The following is a 19,265-nucleotide window of genomic DNA, read 5'->3' on the forward strand; positions in this document are numbered from 1 at the left end:
AAAAAAAGCCAGTCTCAAAAAGTTACATACTGTATGATTCCATTTATATGACATTCTCAAAATAAAATTATAGTGATAGAAAATGATCAGTGGTTTCCAGGGACTAGGAGTGGAGGGGAGTATAGGGCGATAAAGGGTTATTGCAAGGGAGTTTCTTTATGGTGATAGAACAGTTCTGAATCCTGATTGTGGTGGTTGTGACACAAGTCTATTCTTGTGATAAAATTTCATAAAATTGTACACACAACAAAAAAATGAATGTGAAAACTGGTGAAATCCAAATGAAGTCTGTAGTTAGGTTAACAGTGTTATACCACTGTCAGTTTCCTGGGTTTGAATATTATACTACAATAAAGATGTTATCATTGGGGGAAGCTGGGTGAAGGGCACAGGAACTTTCTGATACTAGCTTTGCAACTTTTATGTCAGTCTATAATTATTTTTTAAAAGGCTTTAAACATTCCCCTAATAGCAGCTAATAATTCCTGAATATTTGCTAGTTTCCAGCCCTTTGCTCATCTCATTTGACCTTCCCAACAGCCTTGTCTGGTGCATTCTGTTTTGCCCATTTTATGGAGGAAGAGATGTTACGAAAATCACACACACAATAAAGAGTAGTATGGCTAGGTTTTGCATGCACGTGGCCTGGCTCCAGAATTTGTGTGTTTAACCACCGTAAGGTTTTTCCTCCCTTGCCAAGCTTTGAGATAACAAAGACTGGTGTAGACCATGCTGTGTGTAGACCACTTTGCTGGAAATCTCAGTGGTAGTGCTCAAAGATGTGGCTTCATCCTTGCTGCTTGCTATGATGAACATGACTCTTGCAGATTTAAAAATGTCATGGCCAAATTTCTTTGCGCAATAAAGTAATGTGTTTTAAAAGAATGCACAATCTATTGAAGAAATGTATAACTAGGGACCTTCTTGCCATAGAAGAGGCTTGCAGGGGATAGAGGCTAAGTAGTGTGGGGAGGTGAATGGACCCCATGACGTTGAAGCCATTGAGTTGTGATCTGGAGTCTGATACTTGCTAGAGACCTTGAGGAACTTAACCTTTTTCGTCTGTTTTCTTAACTACAACCCAAGAACCTATGCCTCCTGACTGAGCAATTGAGGGGGTGTTATGGACTGAATCATGTCCCCCCAACAACTGTGTGTTTAAGCCCTAATCTTTAATGTGTATTTGGAGATGGGGCCTTTAAAGAGACAGTTAAGGTTAAATGAGGTCATAAGGGTGTGGCTGTGAGCCAATATGGTAGCTGTTCTTATTAGAAAAAGAGGCATCAGTGATACACATGCACAGTGAAAAGGTCACTAAAAGACCTAGTGATAAGGTGGCCATCTGTATACCAAGAAAGGAGGCCTCGGGAGAAGCCAAAACTGCCGACACCTTCACCTTAGACTTCTAACCTCTAAAACTGTAAGAAAATATAGATCTGAGTGGCTTAAGCCACTCAGCCTGTGATGTTTTGTTGTGGCAGCCCTGGCAAATTAATACAGAGGGAAACTCAGATAGACTCTAAACGTGTTTGAAATATCTCAGGTCCTGCTTGCACATCAAGTGACAAGGATGGCTGTGGAAACCTGGCATCTAACCATGTTTCTTAGAAAGAGCAAGTTCATAGCATGCTTCTCCTTTTTTATTGGCAAAGCAGGTGTTTCTCAAAAATGTACTTGAGGAAATAGCAGTTCTATGATGTGATCTTAACACGTCCGCTAATAGGGAACAGAGAGGAGGGGGTTTTGTGGTCAAAGAAAGCTTAAAATGACAAATGAAAAAAATTTTAAATATGCTTCTTCACCACACGACTTCTCAGAGCTTTTAAAATGCTTGTGTATATTGTGACTCTCTCCAAGAGTTAAATAATTTATTTTATGGCATTTCCAAAGCATTTTCTAGGAACACCATTTAATCAAGTAAGTTTTGTAGGTGGTGATTTGGGAAATGTTGTTGTGTACATTTTCTTGGACGGCCATAACAAAGTACCACAAACTTGGTGGCTTAAAATAACAGAAGTATATTGTCTTACAGTTCTGGAGGCTAGAAGTTTGAAACCAAGGTATTGGCAGGTCATGCTTCCTCGGAAGCCTGCAAGGGAGATTCCTTCCTTGCCTCTTCTAGCCTCTGGTGGTGGCTATCGATCCTTGGCCTTCCTTGGCATCTAGATGCATCACTCCAGTCTCTGCCTCCATCTTCATATGGTCATCTTCACCCTGTGTGTGGCTGTGTCTCTTATAAAAACGCTAGATTAGGGGCCCATCCCAGTGACCTCATATTAACTTAATTAATTACGTTAGTAATGGCCCTATCCTAAATAAGATCACATTCTAAGGTACTGGGGTTTGGACTTCAACATGTCTTTTTGCAGGACACAATTTAACCCATAATACCTGCCAAGTACTTTGCAATGATTGGGATACATGCCTTAAAATTTTACTTGGTTACTTTTCGTTTTTGCTTCTTTCAGGCTAAGCTGCTCCTTTTAATTTTACACTCCTTAAAGCAGAGGATTTTAATTTGCAGTGTAGCAGCAGAATCATAATGCTTTTTTTTTTTTAAGTCCGTTTCAATGCCCTACCCACCTCAAGACTGATTCAGTGGGAGCTGGGTGATGGGTGTTAATGCAGGTTTGTTTGAAAACTGAAGCATTTGACAGACTAGATCTGACTGTATCTGGCTTCTATATTTCAGAATTTTCCAGGACCCATGTTTTGGATCTTTTCTTCTTTCCTTTTTTTTTCTTTTTGAGATGGAGTTTCACTCTCGTCACCCAGGCTGGAGTGCAGTGGCATGATCTTGACTCACTGTAACTGTAACCACCGCCTCCCAGATTCAAGTGATTCTTCTGCCTCAGCCTCCCAAGTAGCTGGTATTACAGACATCCGCCACCATGCCCGGCTAATTTTGTATTGTTGGTAGAGATGGGGTTTCACCATGTTGGCCAGGCTGGTCTCGAACTCCTGACCTCAGGTGATCCACCCGCCTTGGCCTCCCAAAATGCTGGGATTACAGGAGTGAGCCACCACACCCTGCCTGGACATTTTTTTTCAAATACCTCTTCTCTAATCCCTGGCTTTTCTTCGCCAAATGTAGCATCGCCCTCTTTGCAAGTTTGTGGACAGCATTCATGTCCCAGTCTTATCCCAGAATCCAGGAAAGAATGTGTCAGTGAGTGCTGTATCTGGAGGTTTGTCCTAATTGAGGGACTCAGCCAAGCCTCGTGCAGAAATAACCTTTGAGAGTTTGTGTCAAAGTCACAACTCCACCTGAGCAAAGTGTGAATACAGCCTAGCTGGATTGAAATACATGTCACACCTAACTGTACTCTGTGCATGTGGTTCTGTGTGTGGGGATGCATGGGGTTTAGCTGTGTTTTTGAGTCACATGTTTCTAATTGTCAACCCTTTCTCAGACGGTATTTCTGCTTCAGGAGGTTATTTGAATCATCTTGGCTAAGCAGCCTTCAAATAACTCTCTCTCAATTTCTGCATGTCAATTTATGTCCCACTTCCAAAGACTCAGACTGTGAATGACTTCTCTCCACAGATAGGGTCACCTTAGCCAGGTGCTCTTTTGTCTTTGTCTTTAAGATCCTTGGTGTGCCACTTATTGATTCAGCAGTGGAATCATTTTTCTTCTAAAATGCTGACTGGAAGGGCCATTTTGTTAATTTAGTGTGCCTGCTTTTGTGCTCAAATGAGTAGTTTCCATAAAATGAGAAACATGGAATGATGAGGCCTGGGGCCCAGGACTATCCAGTCTCTTTGCTGACTTGGTCTCAGAAAGGGGGTGGAGTGCAGAGAAGAATCTTTTCAAACTTGGATAAGAATTGCCATCTTTAATATGTGATACCACCTTGAAAATTATATTCAGATTTTGGCAGGATGTGGAGAGAGAAGAGTGAAAAAAAAAATCAGTGCCTATTCCAGAATCGCATATTGGAGTTATGTGGCATTTTCTGTTTTAAATAAATGAATTCAGCACACATACTGTTAAAGGGATGTTTGTTTTATCTTTCGAAAAGGATCATGCATCATATTAACTTATTCCTGGTGCTGTACACATTTGCACAAGGACTATATTAAAAGGAAGAGATTTAAAGAAAGAATGCCAATGCCCCCATGGTCTGTCCCAGGAGTTGGGATTCACACCAGTTCTGTTCATTCTACTAGTTGGCTGTCCCAGGGTTGGTTTCCTTCCCCTTCCTCTGCTCCCCTTGGGAAGAGGAAGAGGAAGGAAGTGAGGAAGAGAGGGAAGTGAGGGCTTACAGCTGAAAATCAGCAGAGCCAATAAGGTGGGTTCCATAAAGCACACCCTGTTGGAGGAGAATTTCTTTTTCCTAAATGGTCTGGTGTTTCCTGGTCAGACATCTTTGATCTGGGCCGGTTTCAGGGCCTTCTCCTGATTGACTGAGGAAACCCTCTCATGGATTCTCCCTGCTGTTGCACTGACATTAATCATTTTTTTTAGACTCATAATCATAGTCTACCTGGAATCAGAAGCAGCCCAAGGACCGTGAGCAACAGAGAAAAAGGCCAAGTTGGCTTTATGGAAGTAAAGTCAGGGAGGCCCGTGGAAGGCCTGAACCCCAAGTGAAGGACCTTCTCTAGCTCCTGCATTTATTATCTTTGTGAAGAGTATTATCCAGATGTCAGATGATTAGCATATTTTGCTAGTTTCTCTGTGATGGGAATAATGAATTCTTTCTAAATTTCCTTTAATTTCAATTAGAGGTGAGTAGAGATATATTAATTATACTCATGAAATCTACTGCCTACCAGGTCAAAAAGTAGATAAGGTCCAGGGCGCTGGGAAGATGCCCTGATAACTGAGAAAGAGCAAGCTCTGGGAAGGGATAAGACCAGCGGATGAATCTGAGGATGCCTACCTGCTAATCGCCCCATTTAAAACTTAGTTTTTCAGCCAGCTGAAATGACCCACCAGTCTACAGTGGCAGACAAGACTGGACCGCCTTATTACCCCCACAGTCCTACATTGCTGGGATAAGCAGTCTGTGCAGAGGAGGGGCCCCTGTATTTGCTGTGGCTCAGGGATACAGGAAAGGGTTTTGGTGAACTGCTGTGAAAATGGACCACCCCCATGACTAGACATGACAAGCATCCTGGCCACATTCACAGGTGGATACAAACAATAAATGTCATGAGACTGTCTCCACTAAGTGGATCAGAGTCACAGTGGATATTTAGTTGACCTGTGACTTAACGGCCACAGACCTCTTACAGTGTACATTATGTTTATTAATTTGCATTTTTACCTGCCAGGTAGACTGTACATTTGCAAAGAGGTGTTTTGCTTCAGAAAAATGACTTGGATAATTTAACAAGGTATATCTTTGATCTTCCAACAGTGAATTCAAAAAAGAAAAAAGTTTCCTGTATTGGTGTGTCATAAAAGTCTTTGTTGCAGAGATTTCTCTGCTGTTTTGTTTCCCTTGGTAGTGACTGAATCTTAATTTTCTGTAATGGGAGCACTTATTTCATGTCCTGAGGATGAAAATCCATGTTTCCATTTCTTGTGAATTACAGCTGTTTGGTTTTATAGCCTGTGAATGGCCCTGGGCCTCTCTTGCCTTGTTCTTTGAGGTCCACGTTTCTGTTTACTCATGGTCCACTGCTGCTAATCTAAGGGTCGCTGAGAAGGCTTTCTATCCCATATTATGAACCTACAGCATGTCATTCCATCTTACCTCTGAGTCTTAAGGTCTCTTGATCCTTAAACAACCACTGTAGCCAATAACTTAGTGAACACAAACACTGAATGCCTGGAAGTTCCTGCTGAGTCTGGCTCCTTGCTGCATTTCCAGGCTCATGGTGCGCTGTGTTCCTTTTTCCTTTCTTTGCTCTGGATTCCATGACTTTGTTACAATTATTTGTGTATGCTCTGTTTCCTCCTACCCCGGAGCCTTGGTACCTACAAACACTATTTCTCCATCTAAAAATCTCATGCTCTAGCAGCCCTGCCTTTACCTCCAGGCCCTCCTTTAGTGCCTCTGTTTTATACTACGAAATACACTACCAAATCACCATGAGCCTCTCCCTGATGGTACTTGCTACTCCTGCATGTAGCTGTGTGCTTATTGATTGAGATCTCTCTCCACTGGCCTGTGAACTCTGCAGGAAGAGACCAGGTCTCCCCTTGTTCAATTGATCAAGCACAGCATGTTGTACTTGGTGGCTTCTTAATAAACATTTGATGACTCAATGAATGCTGCAAGGATATTGGGATAAAATGTGTACCATGAGGAAAGGGAAGGAGAGTCTTTGGTAGCAAAGATGTGGGGCTAATATAGGCAGACCTCACTTCACTTAGACCAGAGGACGTTGTACCTAATGGGTGTCCTTGGAGGCCCCTTCCATTGCTGAGGATAGAATTTGAATTCTCACTATGGTACTGGCCCAGGGCAGAGCCTGTCTTACTCAAGCATGAAACTCTTGCCTATTTCATCAAATTGTTCTAATGCCAATCTTTCCCTCACCATGTTTCCTGTCCTTGGAGTAAATTCCAGGCCAGGGTCTAGCAAGTGCTTCCCCACTGTATTTACTTGTCACTTTGCCTGTCAGGTTTTTGGAGTAATGTTTGCATCACATTTTGTGCAAGCTTCTCAGATGGCCATGTTACACTTTTCTTCTTTGCCCTTTTACTTGGCCCTCTTCAGTTATTTTTTTCTCTTCCTCCTTCCTTCTCATTCCCCAGGTGTATGCTCAAGGAAAATACAGAGATAATAGAGTGTAAATGGTTAAGAATGGTGAATTTCTTGGTTCCTTAGAGAAATGGCCGATTCTAGGTTAGGGGCAGAAGATGAACAAGATGAGTCTGTAACCTCTTGCTTATTGTGATAGCAGGAAGCTATCAACTACTGTATGGGGCCTTGGTAGCAAGTCTGAAGAGAAGCGGCTCCCACTGGCCAAAGATGGGATAAATTAAATATCCCTCCACCACTCCCCAAAAAAACACACAAAAATCATCAACATTTGGAAACATATAATATATGTTACAACCCATGCTGAGACTAAAATGATGAAGCAGAAAAGCCATTGATGATACTAAAAAAGAAAAAGGGTGTGGGAGATCCTCATTGATCACCTTCGGACCAATCTTTATTTTGAAAACCAGTAAAGAAATGAACGGCAGCTAACATTTATCCAATTTTCTTCTACAAGTGGTTCTTCAGCTGACTTAACAGTGCAAAAGAGGAAGCACTTCTTCGCAGAAATTGGTTATCTAATAAATGAAGAGAGATGATGAAATTAAAATATCACTATGTTGCAGCTTCTGATGAATTAATGAATCTGGGCATTGGTCGTTGATGACTACCATCATCGCAAGGAGACTACTACTCATTTGTTGGAGGGAAGTAAAAAAACATCACGAATGAATAGCAAATAAATAAGTAAATACCAAATAAATAAATAAATATGTAGTCAAATCTGAATCCAATCAAACTGCTCAATCTCACCATCAATTAAAATAGAGGGACAGAAGAACATGTTAAATGACACCTCAGAAATACAGTTAGTAAAATCTGGATTCTGGAATGCTCTTCATGACCAACAAGTTATTTCTTCAACAAAACTTGTGAGAAAAATAATGGAGAGGGAACTCTAGAATAAGAGACTTAAGAGATATCTCAATCAATCACAATGAGTAGATCTTAACATGAATCCTCATTCAAACTGTGTAACTGTGACAAAGTGAAACGTGGTTTGTTTTTAAAATGTTTACAGATGAAATAATATGATATCTGGGATGTGCTTCACAATAATCTAGATGAGTATATTAGTTATCTGCTGTTGTGGAACAAATTACCCCTAAACTTAATAGCTAAAACAGGGGTCCCCAACCCACAGGCCACAGATCAAATACCATACTGGTCTCTGGTCTGTTAGGAACCAGGCTGCACAGCAGGAGGTAAGTAGCGGGTGAGTGAGCAAGCATTACCACCTGAGCTCTACCTCAGATCAGCCAGCAGCATCATTTGATTCTTACAGGAGTGCAAACCTTATTGTGAACTATGCATACAAGGAATCTAGGTTGTGTGCCCCTTATGAGAATCTAAGTAATGCCTGATGATTTGAGGTGGAACAATTTCATCCTTCGCCCTGCCCCGCTACCATCCCGGGCTACCTCCCCATACCCCTGTCCTTGGACAGATTGTCTTCCGTGAAACCAGTCTCTAGTGCCAAAAAGATTGGGGACCATAGGCTTAAAACAACAAACATTTATTATCTCATGTAGTTCCTGGACTCAAGAACCCAGGAGTAGCCTGACTGGGTTGTTCTGGCTCAGGGTCTCTAGTGAGGTTGCATTCAGGATGTAGGCTGGGGGCTGGTCTTCCAAGGGCTGGCTAGGATGGAAGATCCATGTCTAAGCTAATTCATATGGCTCTTGGAAAGAGACTTCAGTTCCCTGACAGCTGTTGGTTGGAAGCTTCAGTTTCTTACTCCATGGCATCTCCCCAGGGCTGCTTCCAGCAAAGCAGTTGGCTTCCTCCAGAGGGAGGTATCCAATAGAGATCAGACGAGCAACTGTGATAGAAGCCATAGTGTTACTTACAACCTAATCTTGCAGGTGGCATACCATCACTTCTATGACATTCTCTTTGTTGCAGACACCAACCCCTGGTGTAATGTAAGAGGGCCCAACACAAGGGTCTGCGTATCAGTGGGTGAGAATCATAGGAGGCCATTTTGGAGGCTGGCTGCCAAAAGGGACGTCGATGTAGATGGTGTCAGGATATTGATAAAACAAGATTGGCTGTGAGTTGATCATTAAAATTTTCTAATATAAAAAGTTTCTGGCAAAAAAACTTTTTTAGAGACCAAATGCTTGGATATAAGCTCCAGCTCTACCATTTATTAGCTGTGAGACCTAGTCAAGTGATGTGAATTCATTCTCTCATTCTTAAAAGGAGGGTAATAAGAGTACCTACCTTCTGTCTGGGGATTGCTGTGAGGATTGAACTCATGAGGACTCAGGGACAAGGCTGGTGTGTAGAGGGCACCCAGAGAATATTAGTTGATGGTAGCAGTCTCTTCTCTTCTGTCTCGGGCATTCTCTTTCTGCTGGGCCTGAAAACATCCCTGGACCACCTATTTTCTAGAAACTCTTTTATCTAACTTTTAAGAAGCATATTGTGATATCCCTGGGAAAAGCTACCATTTTTTCTTTATCTGATCTTCTCACTACATGTATGTCTGCCCCCACATGCTGCTGCAGAGGAAATGAGTGCAGTGAGAGCATGCATGTGGAAGTGCATGTGTTTTGGCACACCTTTGCTACCCTGGCCTGCATCAGTGTGTTTTTCTAGAATATGGACCTTGCTACTGCCACTAAAAGGCTGTACCTCTTCTGAGAAGCTGCTTGTAAGTCGACTGTTCTTATCTGTCCAGCACCTCTCTCTCTCATCCTTTACATGAAATCCCTCTGTCCTTAGAAAACCCATTTGGTGAAGTCAGGTAGGACTTTCCCCATTTCTCCCCACCACACCCTCAAGTTCAGACGTGGTGATGCGATCCAGACCTGAATAAGTCAGAGGTCCCATTCTCTGGCCACCTGATTGGCTCAGGCCCAGACACACATCCTAAGTTGGCCTGATCAGAGTATTTCTGGGGACTTTTCTGATAGCAATATTGCTGAAACTGCTCTTGGGTAAAGTTGCCAGATTTTGCAAAACAAACAAACAGGGCACTCAATTTTAAATATCAGATAACAAAGAATACATTTTTATTATATTCATTGTTATGTATCCAAAATTCAAAGTTAATTGGGCATCCTATATTTATCTGGCAACCATAGCTCTTGCCAGTGGGCAGGCTGAGCTAGGAGGATGTGAGACCACTGATGTAGGCAGCTGTGTGCTCAAGAGCTTGCTGGGGGAATGAAACCAAGTAGAGCCAGGAGATACAATAGAGAAGACAGACTGAGCCCTGAGGCCACCACTGGGTCCCCTGTCCCTCCCTTCACTGAGACAGCTGCACTCCCAGTCTTCTCGTTCTAGGAGCCAGTGACTTTCCTTTTTCTGTATGTAGAGTTTGGGTTTTTTTTTTTTTTAATTGTTGTTGTTTGTTTCTAGAATTTCAACTTGGATACTTTCATAGACTAAAAATACAGTGCCATAAGGGATTGTAAGCCACAGGTGCCCTACTAATAAGATCTAGTGTTTACTGAGTGCCTACTATATGCTGAACTCTGTATGAAGCACTCTGTCTACATTATCTTATTAAGTCCTCACAGTCACTCTGCATGGTATAAATGAAGAAATTATTGACTCAATTCTTTATCTTCCATGAGGTTGTTATAATTATCTTACTACACATATGCACTACAATGTGAGTACAAAGATGTTTACTATAGTAATGTTGAAAACATAAAATACTGAAAATTTAAACTTTCACTAGTAGGGGACTGGTCAAAGTTCAAATTGATGTTGATACATACATATATATATATATATATATATGCACACACACACACACACACACACACACACACACACACAGTGCCTTACAGGGTATTTGTTTATTCACAGACTCAAATAAGAATGGAAGAAATTCAGACAATTAAGTTTAATACCCATATGTAATTAAGCTTGGCAAAATACAGAGATCATTGAAACACATTTTAATTGAATACAAGTTTTATAAAACGCTACAAATCTTCCAAGTGTTCATACAGAAAAAGTCCAAATTTAGGTGTCCCTGGGGTCACATTTCTTTGCTGAGCTTTCCCAGAAATGAATGTAGCCACCACTGCTTGGGGAATATGGCTCCTAACCTGTGTCTTAGCACACGCTGCTCCCCCAATCCTGGGCCATAGCTTTGCATTGAGTGCAAAGAACTGTAGGTGTGACTGCGAGGTGATGGTTTGATGCAGACGAGTGCGCTGGCACCCACAGCACTGGTCAGCATCACATTCCCCCTGGGTGTTGGCTATCAATACGTACCTCTTCTGAGCTGAGGCATCCTCAGAGCTGGCACTGTGTTTGTAATGAATTGAAACTGACTTCAGTCTACCCTGGCACACTGCAGCCACTGAAAGCATTCTTCCTCCAAGAAACGCATTTGAATCAAGTCAAGATTTTCATGAAGTTCATAAAGGATACATGGAGACCTTTGGAAATTTCAGAAAGACGTGAAGGGTGAGGCCTACTGTGTACACACACTGCCATGCCATGCAGAAACACAACACAGGCGTCCTGTCCATGCAGCACTGGGCTTCAGCTTTTCCCAGGCTTTCAGGGGTTCGCAAAGCTTAGTTCCCTGAGATGCACTGACAAGTCCACATGACCTCACAAGAAGGACGATGAGCTCACATAATACGTCTCCTCTTGGAGCTGGCCTTGTTCACAGGCATGGTAATCATCATGTCCCTCCCCCTCAGCAGTTACTTGGAAATGTGCACTGCTTAGGTGGAGGGGCTGTTCCACTTTAGGTATTTCCCAATTGTAGAGAATCACCAATTCTGAGCTCATCACCATCATCCTGCATGAAATAATTAGTGCTTTTGCCATTGAAATGAGGATGTAGCTAATCTGACTACCTGGATGAAATAATGTTCATTGTTCACATCCAGGAGATCTATCTTTTCTCTAATTTGGCACTGGCATTAAACAGCTGCTACCTTCAGACACATCAATTTGTTACACACACGTAAAGGACAAACGGGGAATAGCTCAGATGCCATTCTATCAGTGTCTGTACTGTCTCCCCCAAATTGCAAACAGCTGGGCCTGCCTCCTTCCTACCAGCTTTCTTCAGCCATTCTGTTTTCTTCTTTGAGAAATACCATGTCACTGCTTCCCACGGGAATTAAATGACAGTCTGATTTACAGGAACCTAGGCTTGGTGGTAGCCATGTCACAAGATATGTGCCTTACCTACAAGATAATATTGGCTCTGCACTGCCCTAACATCCCTGAGAGATTTGCCCCAAAGAGGCTGTAAAAGTCAGCCAAGGGAGTTCTCAGACTAAATGGGAATATGAGAGACTCATCCCAGGTTGAGGTTAGGGTTGGGTGTGTGTGTGTTGTCAGGAGGAATTAGATCAAGAGGAAGTGTCCAGATTTACATCAGATAATCTTGTGGTGTAATATCCAAATCAGCGGGGAGGACAGGTGTGGGCACCCTTTGAGCCTCTGAAAAATGGGCTTCTGCACTTTGGGTTTGGAGCACAGTAGTAGTGGGACCACAGAACCCCATGAGCTTATCTGGAAGTCTCACTGAGGAGTTGGGCATCAGAATAGGGTGGACATGGCTGTTGGGACCCTGCTCGTCATTTAGGCTGATAGGAGCCACATCTCTGTTTTAGGAGAAAGCAGGCAATCCTGTGTCTGTTTACTGACAGAACTGAAAATGAAAGAGGCTCTACAGAACACTCTTACCTTTAATGCCTTAATTTTAATTTTCCAGTGAGCTCGAGCTACCTGACAGCCACAGTGCAAAGTGACCTATTAAAGTGAAGTCCATTTGAGGATACCTGCACTGTAGCAGCACACCAGAATTCTGTGCTGCGTGTGAACAGGGCAGCAAGGAGCAGCAGACACCATCTTTTGGGTGTCTCCTCTGCTCACAGGCATGCTCCATTGCTCCACTGGATTTCACGTACAAATCACAGATTCAAAAAATACAATTATAAAGAATTTCAGGACAGTGGTAACAAAGCATTAAACCAAACACTGAGTCCTTCTGAAAATGGGACTCTGGGCCACTGCATATGTCACATCCCCTGGAAACCAGCCCTGCACGGAATCTTAGCTTTGCACACGAACCTAAGTCTCTGCACCCACCTGCATGCTGTAGTTTATCAGGGACGTAGAGAGCTGGGCCCTGGGCGCTGTGAAGGGGCCCTATTGCACAGGGACTCAGCACTTTGAAACCCACTCTGCTGTCTTGACCTTTCTAGTGTCCTCGGCCTACATGTAAAATAAGAATGTAATAGTACCTTTCTTTTAGGGGTGTTAGGAGGATCAAACAAAGTAATGTACAAAAAGCACGTGATGCCTAGCATACAGTTGTCACTTTGCCAGTATTGGCTGCCCTTGGAGGGCTTGGTGACGTGACTTCTGAAGCCTTCCCATGGTGGAGTTGCTGCAACAACCTTTGTCCACTCCTAATGGGTACGAAATTCATGTCTGCAGTACTCGAATGACCCTGATGGGTGTCATTGATAGATGGCTATTAGCCTCCCCTCCAAATAGCGGCTGTACTCCCAGCCAGGACCACCAGCTCTCAAGGGCTTGTTTTGTCCGCTGATGTCCATTTGACACCTTGCTCTTAACAGGAAGGACTCAAACATTTATTATAATTACATAGACAGGAAAAAAAACATGATTGCTGTGATCACAGAGAGTCATCAGTATGATTCAACTAAACTGAATACTGGTGAAGGAGAGGCTTATTTCACCAGGATCCTCTGCTGGCCTCAACGTTGTGGCTGTTTGTCAGAGATAAGCGGATGTGGCCGTGCTGCTGGCATTTGGCACAGGGAGTGGTGGCGCCAGCGTGGGCTCATCTCCCCAGGCATTAAGCTGCACTAATTGCTTTGGAAGCGAGGCTTTTTCCTGGGCAGCAGCATATGCTGCGTGAGTCGCTTGAAGCAAAGATAAAGAGCCACCCTCCTCCTTTATTGAGGTTTAATAATAAAATGGAACTGTCACCATTTCCAATAAATGGTTTATTTTAATTGAGAAAAATAATGAGAACTGGCCACCTTTTGGTACACGGCTGTTCAGCGTCTCCCTGACTTGGGCGATCTGGAGCCTTCTGTTCTGTAGCTGTGCCCTTGAGGCACTCGGGTCCTGGGGTCAGTGAAGTCAGCTACGTGTCTCTATCCATTTGAGAAAACCTGGCCCTCGAAAGGCAAAATAATTCCTTTTCCAAGGTCTATTAGATTATAAAGTTGCAACCCAGGAAGTGGGCATAGAAAGCGTTGGAGATGTAGTCTGTTTTAATTTTCACATGTTGAAGACGGTCCTTTCTTTTAGTGAATATGAAATGAAAGTCTCACTTTTTTTTCTGTCACCAAAATTCTTTCAGATGACTTCTTTTTTCGGGTCCCCCAGGGAGAAGTCAACCCAGTACCACCAAGTATCAGAGAGAAATGAAGGCACAGATAAGGCAGTGTCTTACTCAGGCTTGTAGAGAGGGCGAATGTCAGAACAGGAATTGGAAGGAAGTCCTGCCTGCTGTTCTGAGGCACTGATGCTCTCACTACCCCACCCACTACTCAGGTGCTTTCCCATCCTCATTTCACAGCAGGCAAAATTGAAGCCAGAGAACTAAAGCCACTTGTCTCAGGGGTTCAGTTGGTAAATGGTATAACCAGCACTGGAACTCAGTCTCCTGACCCCCAGTTCAGTTTTTTGTTTGTTTGTTTGTTTTGAAATGGAGTCTCGCTCTTTCGCCCAGGCTGGAGTGCAGTGGTGCAATCTCAGCTCACTGCAAGCTCTGCCTCCCGGGTTCACGCCATTCTTCTGCCTCAGCCTCCCGAGTAGCTGGGACTACAGGCGCCCGCCACCACGTCTGGCTAATTTTTTGTATTGTTAGTAGAGATGGGGTTTCACCATGTTAGCCAGGACGGTTGCGATCTCCTGACCTCGTGATCTGCCTGCCTTGGCCTCCCAAAATGCTGGGATTACAGGCATGAGCCACTGCACCTGGCCAGTTTTTGGTTTTTTTTTTTTTTAAATCAGAGTTCATAGGGCCTGTATACCAATTGCCTCCACACAATAACAATGATATGATGGCATTAAACATAACAATTTCTGGATCTTACAACGACCACAACTGGGAGTAGAGAAAAATAAATCTGTAGTGATGCAGAGGATGCAGGGCAGTCAGCCAGCCCCTTCCTTTGCTTCCAGACACTACCCTTGGGGTGTACATGGTTAGGATTGATCATCAGCAAAATCACAAATCCTCCGTGCCATGGGTCGTCAAAGCACTGGCTGTTAAAGCCTCGAGCACCAAAAGCCTGCTGTGTATAAAGTGCTGTATTCAGTCTAGCACAGGCGCGGTAAACCGATCGCACCATACGATGGCTGTGATTAAGAAGGGGAGGAGGGGCATAGGGGAGAAGAGGAAGATCATTTTAATGCAGGGGAAGCTTTCACGAGGTATGGTCTCCGCAGCCAGGGTCATTGGTTTGGTTGTGGTAATCATAAGGGATCTTTTCAATTAAGTGGCCCACATCAGCTAAAACTGGTTAAGCAGAGGAGCAAAGGTATTGGTTCACTTACCTAAAAGGCCAGGCATGCCCGGATCTAGGGGCTCAAGCCTTGTTGTCCCCATCCTGTCCTGGCTCCTCCATGTGGGCTTTGCTCTCTGCGGCTGTTACCTTCATTCAGGTGTGCACCTCCCGTGCGGTGGCAGGATGATTGCTGGCAGCCCTAGGCTTCCTCTCAGCAATCCTCATGGAAAGAGAGAGTCCTTCCTCCCACGTGCCAGCAGAAGTCCAGGGATTGGCTCAATGCCCGTGCACAACTGTGGCCCTTGGGGTGGAATTCATAGACTAGACAGGTCTGATAAATGGTCCCACTCCTTAATCTGGGAGGGAGGGAGAGAGACATTAGCTTCACTCAAATCATATGAATTATGGGTTGGTGGGAGAAGGAAAATCAGAAGAAGGGGACTTGATGCTGGGCAGGCAAAACTCACACATGTCCCTGGGTCCAGGTCTTAGACCTTCCTCTGACTCACCATTAGTCCATGGCTTGATAGGAAGGAAGGTCCATTTTAACCCCTGTCTCTGGGTCAGTGCTGTCCAGTTGCACTTCCTGCAATGATGGCGATGTTCATTAATTGGCAGTGTCCAGTGCAGTAGCCACTAGCCACATGTGGCTAATGAGCACTTGAAATGAGGTTAGCACTACTGAGGAACTGTATTTTTAATGTTAGGTAATTTTATTAATAATTACATTTAAATGTAAATTCTACATGTGGCTCAAGGCTACCTAACTGGACAGAGCAGCTCTTAGTGGAGGACACATCATGGGAGGTAGTTCCCTGGGAGACAAGAGCTGGTTTTGTGTAGGAGAGTTGGGCAGAGGGCTAAATGAAGCTCCAAAGACCAGGAGGGTGATCTGGGTCAGGGTGTGGAGGAGGAGAAGAGGGAGTTGGACATGAGAGAGAGAGAGGAGGGAGAAACAAACACAGAGAGTCCTTTATTGGTGGCATCATTTGGGAGTCCTTAACTTGAGAAGATAGTTTTTCTGTCTAACATATGGACCAGATATGTACCAGGAAGAAACAAAATCACAACTGACCTTGTTATAAAAGCGAATTAAAGGGAACTCCATAACATGTTGTTACATTTGATCTAAATGTCCAACTGTAAAAAAGCAACCATTGCCTGAAGTGCCACATGAGCTACACAGAGATGAAAAGAAAAATTAAATGTTGTGCAGGTTGTTTAAAAAAATGCTCTGTAGGCTGGGCCCGGTGGCTCATGCCTGTAATCCCAGCACTTTGGGAGGCTGAGGCGGGTGGATCATGAGGTCAGGAGATCGAGACCATCCTGGCTAACACGGTGAAACCCCGTCTCTATTAAAAATACAAAAAATTAGCCAGGCGTGGTGGCGGGCGCCTGTAGTCCCAGCTACTCTGGAGGCTGAGGCAGGAGAATGGCGTGAACCCGGGAGGCGGAGCTTCTGGTGAGCCGAGATCGCACCCACTGCACTCCAGCCTGGGCGACAGAGCGAGACTACTCCGTCTCAAGAAAAAAAAGAAAAAAATGCTGTGTTAACATGTGTGACTGAGTGCAATTAAGGCATTTGGCAGAAATGACATCAGGCAAATAGAATGAACTTGTAAAGGCAGAGTCTGGCCACAGCTTTGTGAATCTAGGGCTGGTTAATGACCAGCCTCTCAGTGAGCTGTGTGATGGGTGTTTCATCATGCTCCGTGTCCCTAGGTGGGTGCAGGAGGGTGTGGGGACCACCATGTGTTGACACTTTCAGAGCCTAAGTCCTCATGGTGGTCACAAGCCTGATTTCCACCGGGGGTGGTTGTTGGTGAAGGCAGACTCCCTTCCTGCCCAACTACAGCTGGGACGCCTGGCTTCCTTGGACTCGGTTAATTGCCTGGATTTGTTCACCAGGCATTCCTGGAGGACCTGCCATGCACTTGGCATCCTGATGGGCCTTGAGAACTGGGCAGAAAGAAAAGAGAGGCACAAAGCTTGGCTCCTGGCCCTGAGACTGCCTAGTTCCCTGGCCCTCAGCATTCCTCTCCCCCATCACTCAAGCCATTTGATCATCCCCTGAAGACTTAGCTCCCACCCAGGAGCAGAGATTAAAGTGAGCATTCTGGAGCCAGACTGCTCAGGTATATGTCAAGCCCATGGCAAGTGCCTGGCATACAAGGTGCTCAAAAAGAAAAAAAAATATTATTTTGCTAATTTAGAGAAACAACAGGTATATAGCAGAAAGAAGAAGGGCATTAGAGTAGGTGTAGCTGACCTGGATTGAAACCTGGGCCAGGCAACTAGGTGGTGTGTGTATTTGGACACAGTTCTCAGTCTATCTGTAAAGTGGGATGATGGAACCTCACATGATTGTCATGAAGACTCAGTTGCACTGTATTTTTTAAGGGCCTAACACCAGGCAGGCTTCAATAATGGTGGCTGCTCTGATGGGCCAGAGGGCAAGGAAGGTTGCTATGACAGTGGAGCGGGCCAGGGAAGAGGGTCTTGTGGGTTGTATATGTGCCCAAGGTGAGCCACCAGTTTTAAATTCAGCCTCGATTCATGTTAGGCCCAGGTGTCATTCAAAGGTTTTTACCATGAAGAACCCACCCAAACTTTGGCGTTCACACTGGCACCATCTTGCCAGCAAATCTTCTGCCCAGCTCAATGACTGGGGGCTCCTACTGCTTCTGAGGGGACCCAAGGAGAGGCAGAGCAGCATCTTAAAACAATCAGCATGCCCTAAGATTTGTCTCTACGATCCATTTTGATTCCGTGATCATTTTGGGGGTCCTAAGCAGTGTGGCCAATTAGACACATCATGAATGGGTTTCACCATCTGAGTGCTGATGGCATGCCTGGGGCGTTGTTGGGTGTTAGGGCGTGGTAAGAGAAAGAAAGCCACTCCTTAGCAAGGAAATCATGGGTGGATATTTTCCATGAGCTCATTCTTCCTGTTCCTCTCCCTCCTGGTGACTCCCCCTGCCAGTTTCCCCAGCGGACAAAAGTGGGGATGCCTTTGGGGAGAAAATAATCCATTTCAATAGAAAAAGCAAGGGGAGTCTCACGATAACTGCGCAGGCGCGGACCAGAGAGCTCTTTTCTGAGGATCCGGCAAGATGGCAGAAGTAGAGCAGAAGAAGCAGACCTTCCGCAGGTTCACCTACCGTGGCGTGGACCTGGACCAGCTGCTGGACATGTCCTACAAGCGGCTGATGCCGCTGTACAGTGCGCGCCAGCAGCGGCGGCTGAACCGGGGCCTGCGGCGGAAGCAGCACTCCCTGCTGAAGTGCCTGCGCAAGGCCAAGAAGGAGGCGCTGCCCATGGAGAAGCCGGAAGTGGTGAAGACGCACCTGCGTGACGTGATCATCCTGCCCGAGATGGTGGGCAGCATGGTGGGCGTCTACAACGGCAAGACCTTCAACCAGGTGGAGATCAAGCCCGAGATGATCGACCACTACCTGGGCGAGTTCTCCATCACCTACAAGCCCATAAAGCACGGCGGGCCCGGCATCGGGGCCAGCCACTCCTCCCGCTTCATCCCTCTCAAGCAGTGGCTCAGCTAATAAAGGCGCACATGGTTCCAGTCAAAAAAAAAAAAAAAAAAAAAAAAAGAAAGAAAAAGAAAGGGGTTCGGAATGCAGTGACTGGAAAGCAAAGCGAGGCCGTGGTGCCACCATGGGTGTGGGCTTTTGGGTCACTCATACATGCATGTGTTCCTGGACATGCATTGTGTGCACTGACCTGTTCCTGGGCATGAGCCTGAATTCGCTCTTGCCCCTTTGTTGGGAAGCAGAAACGTGTGGGGTTTCGCAGTTACTTTCTTTAGTCCCCTTTAATCTCTAGCTAATGCTGAGCTTCTGCAGAGCCAGAAGGGTCTTAGGGCCTACTCTGGAAGAGCCTCACTCCCATTCTCCTTATTCCCTGGAGCTCTTCTGGATTTCTAGCCTGTGTCTGTCTTGTTATAATCACAGTTTTCATGTTGTGATCCAGTCTTTATCCTTGCTCCTTAGAGCTATCTACTGAGCCCCTTCTGTGTGTATTACGCATGTGGTAGACATGA

At 44.7% G+C, this 19,265-nt stretch overlaps 1 protein-coding gene, 1 long non-coding RNA gene and 1 pseudogene across 2 annotated transcripts in view; 2 read left to right on the forward strand and 1 right to left on the reverse strand.

The window, feature by feature from the left end:
* Nucleotides 1-19,265, forward strand: part of CACNA2D3 (calcium voltage-gated channel auxiliary subunit alpha2delta 3) — a 952,006-nt gene that overhangs the window by 485,342 nt on the left and 447,399 nt on the right. The gene's annotated exons all lie outside the window — the stretch shown is intronic.
* On the reverse strand, nucleotides 10,628-18,525 carry LOC107986088 (uncharacterized). The gene is made up of 5 exons (XR_001740705.3): nucleotides 18,370-18,525; nucleotides 15,718-15,794; nucleotides 15,258-15,564; nucleotides 12,807-12,932; nucleotides 10,628-11,131 (listed from the first exon to the last, which is right to left on the reverse strand). It is a non-coding gene; the product is annotated as an uncharacterized LOC107986088 (long non-coding RNA).
* On the forward strand, nucleotides 18,292-18,789 carry RPS15P5 (ribosomal protein S15 pseudogene 5; annotated as a pseudogene).

This window comes from Homo sapiens, chromosome 3 (assembly GCF_000001405.40).
Source record: "Homo sapiens chromosome 3, GRCh38.p14 Primary Assembly".
NCBI lineage: Eukaryota > Metazoa > Chordata > Mammalia > Primates > Hominidae > Homo > Homo sapiens.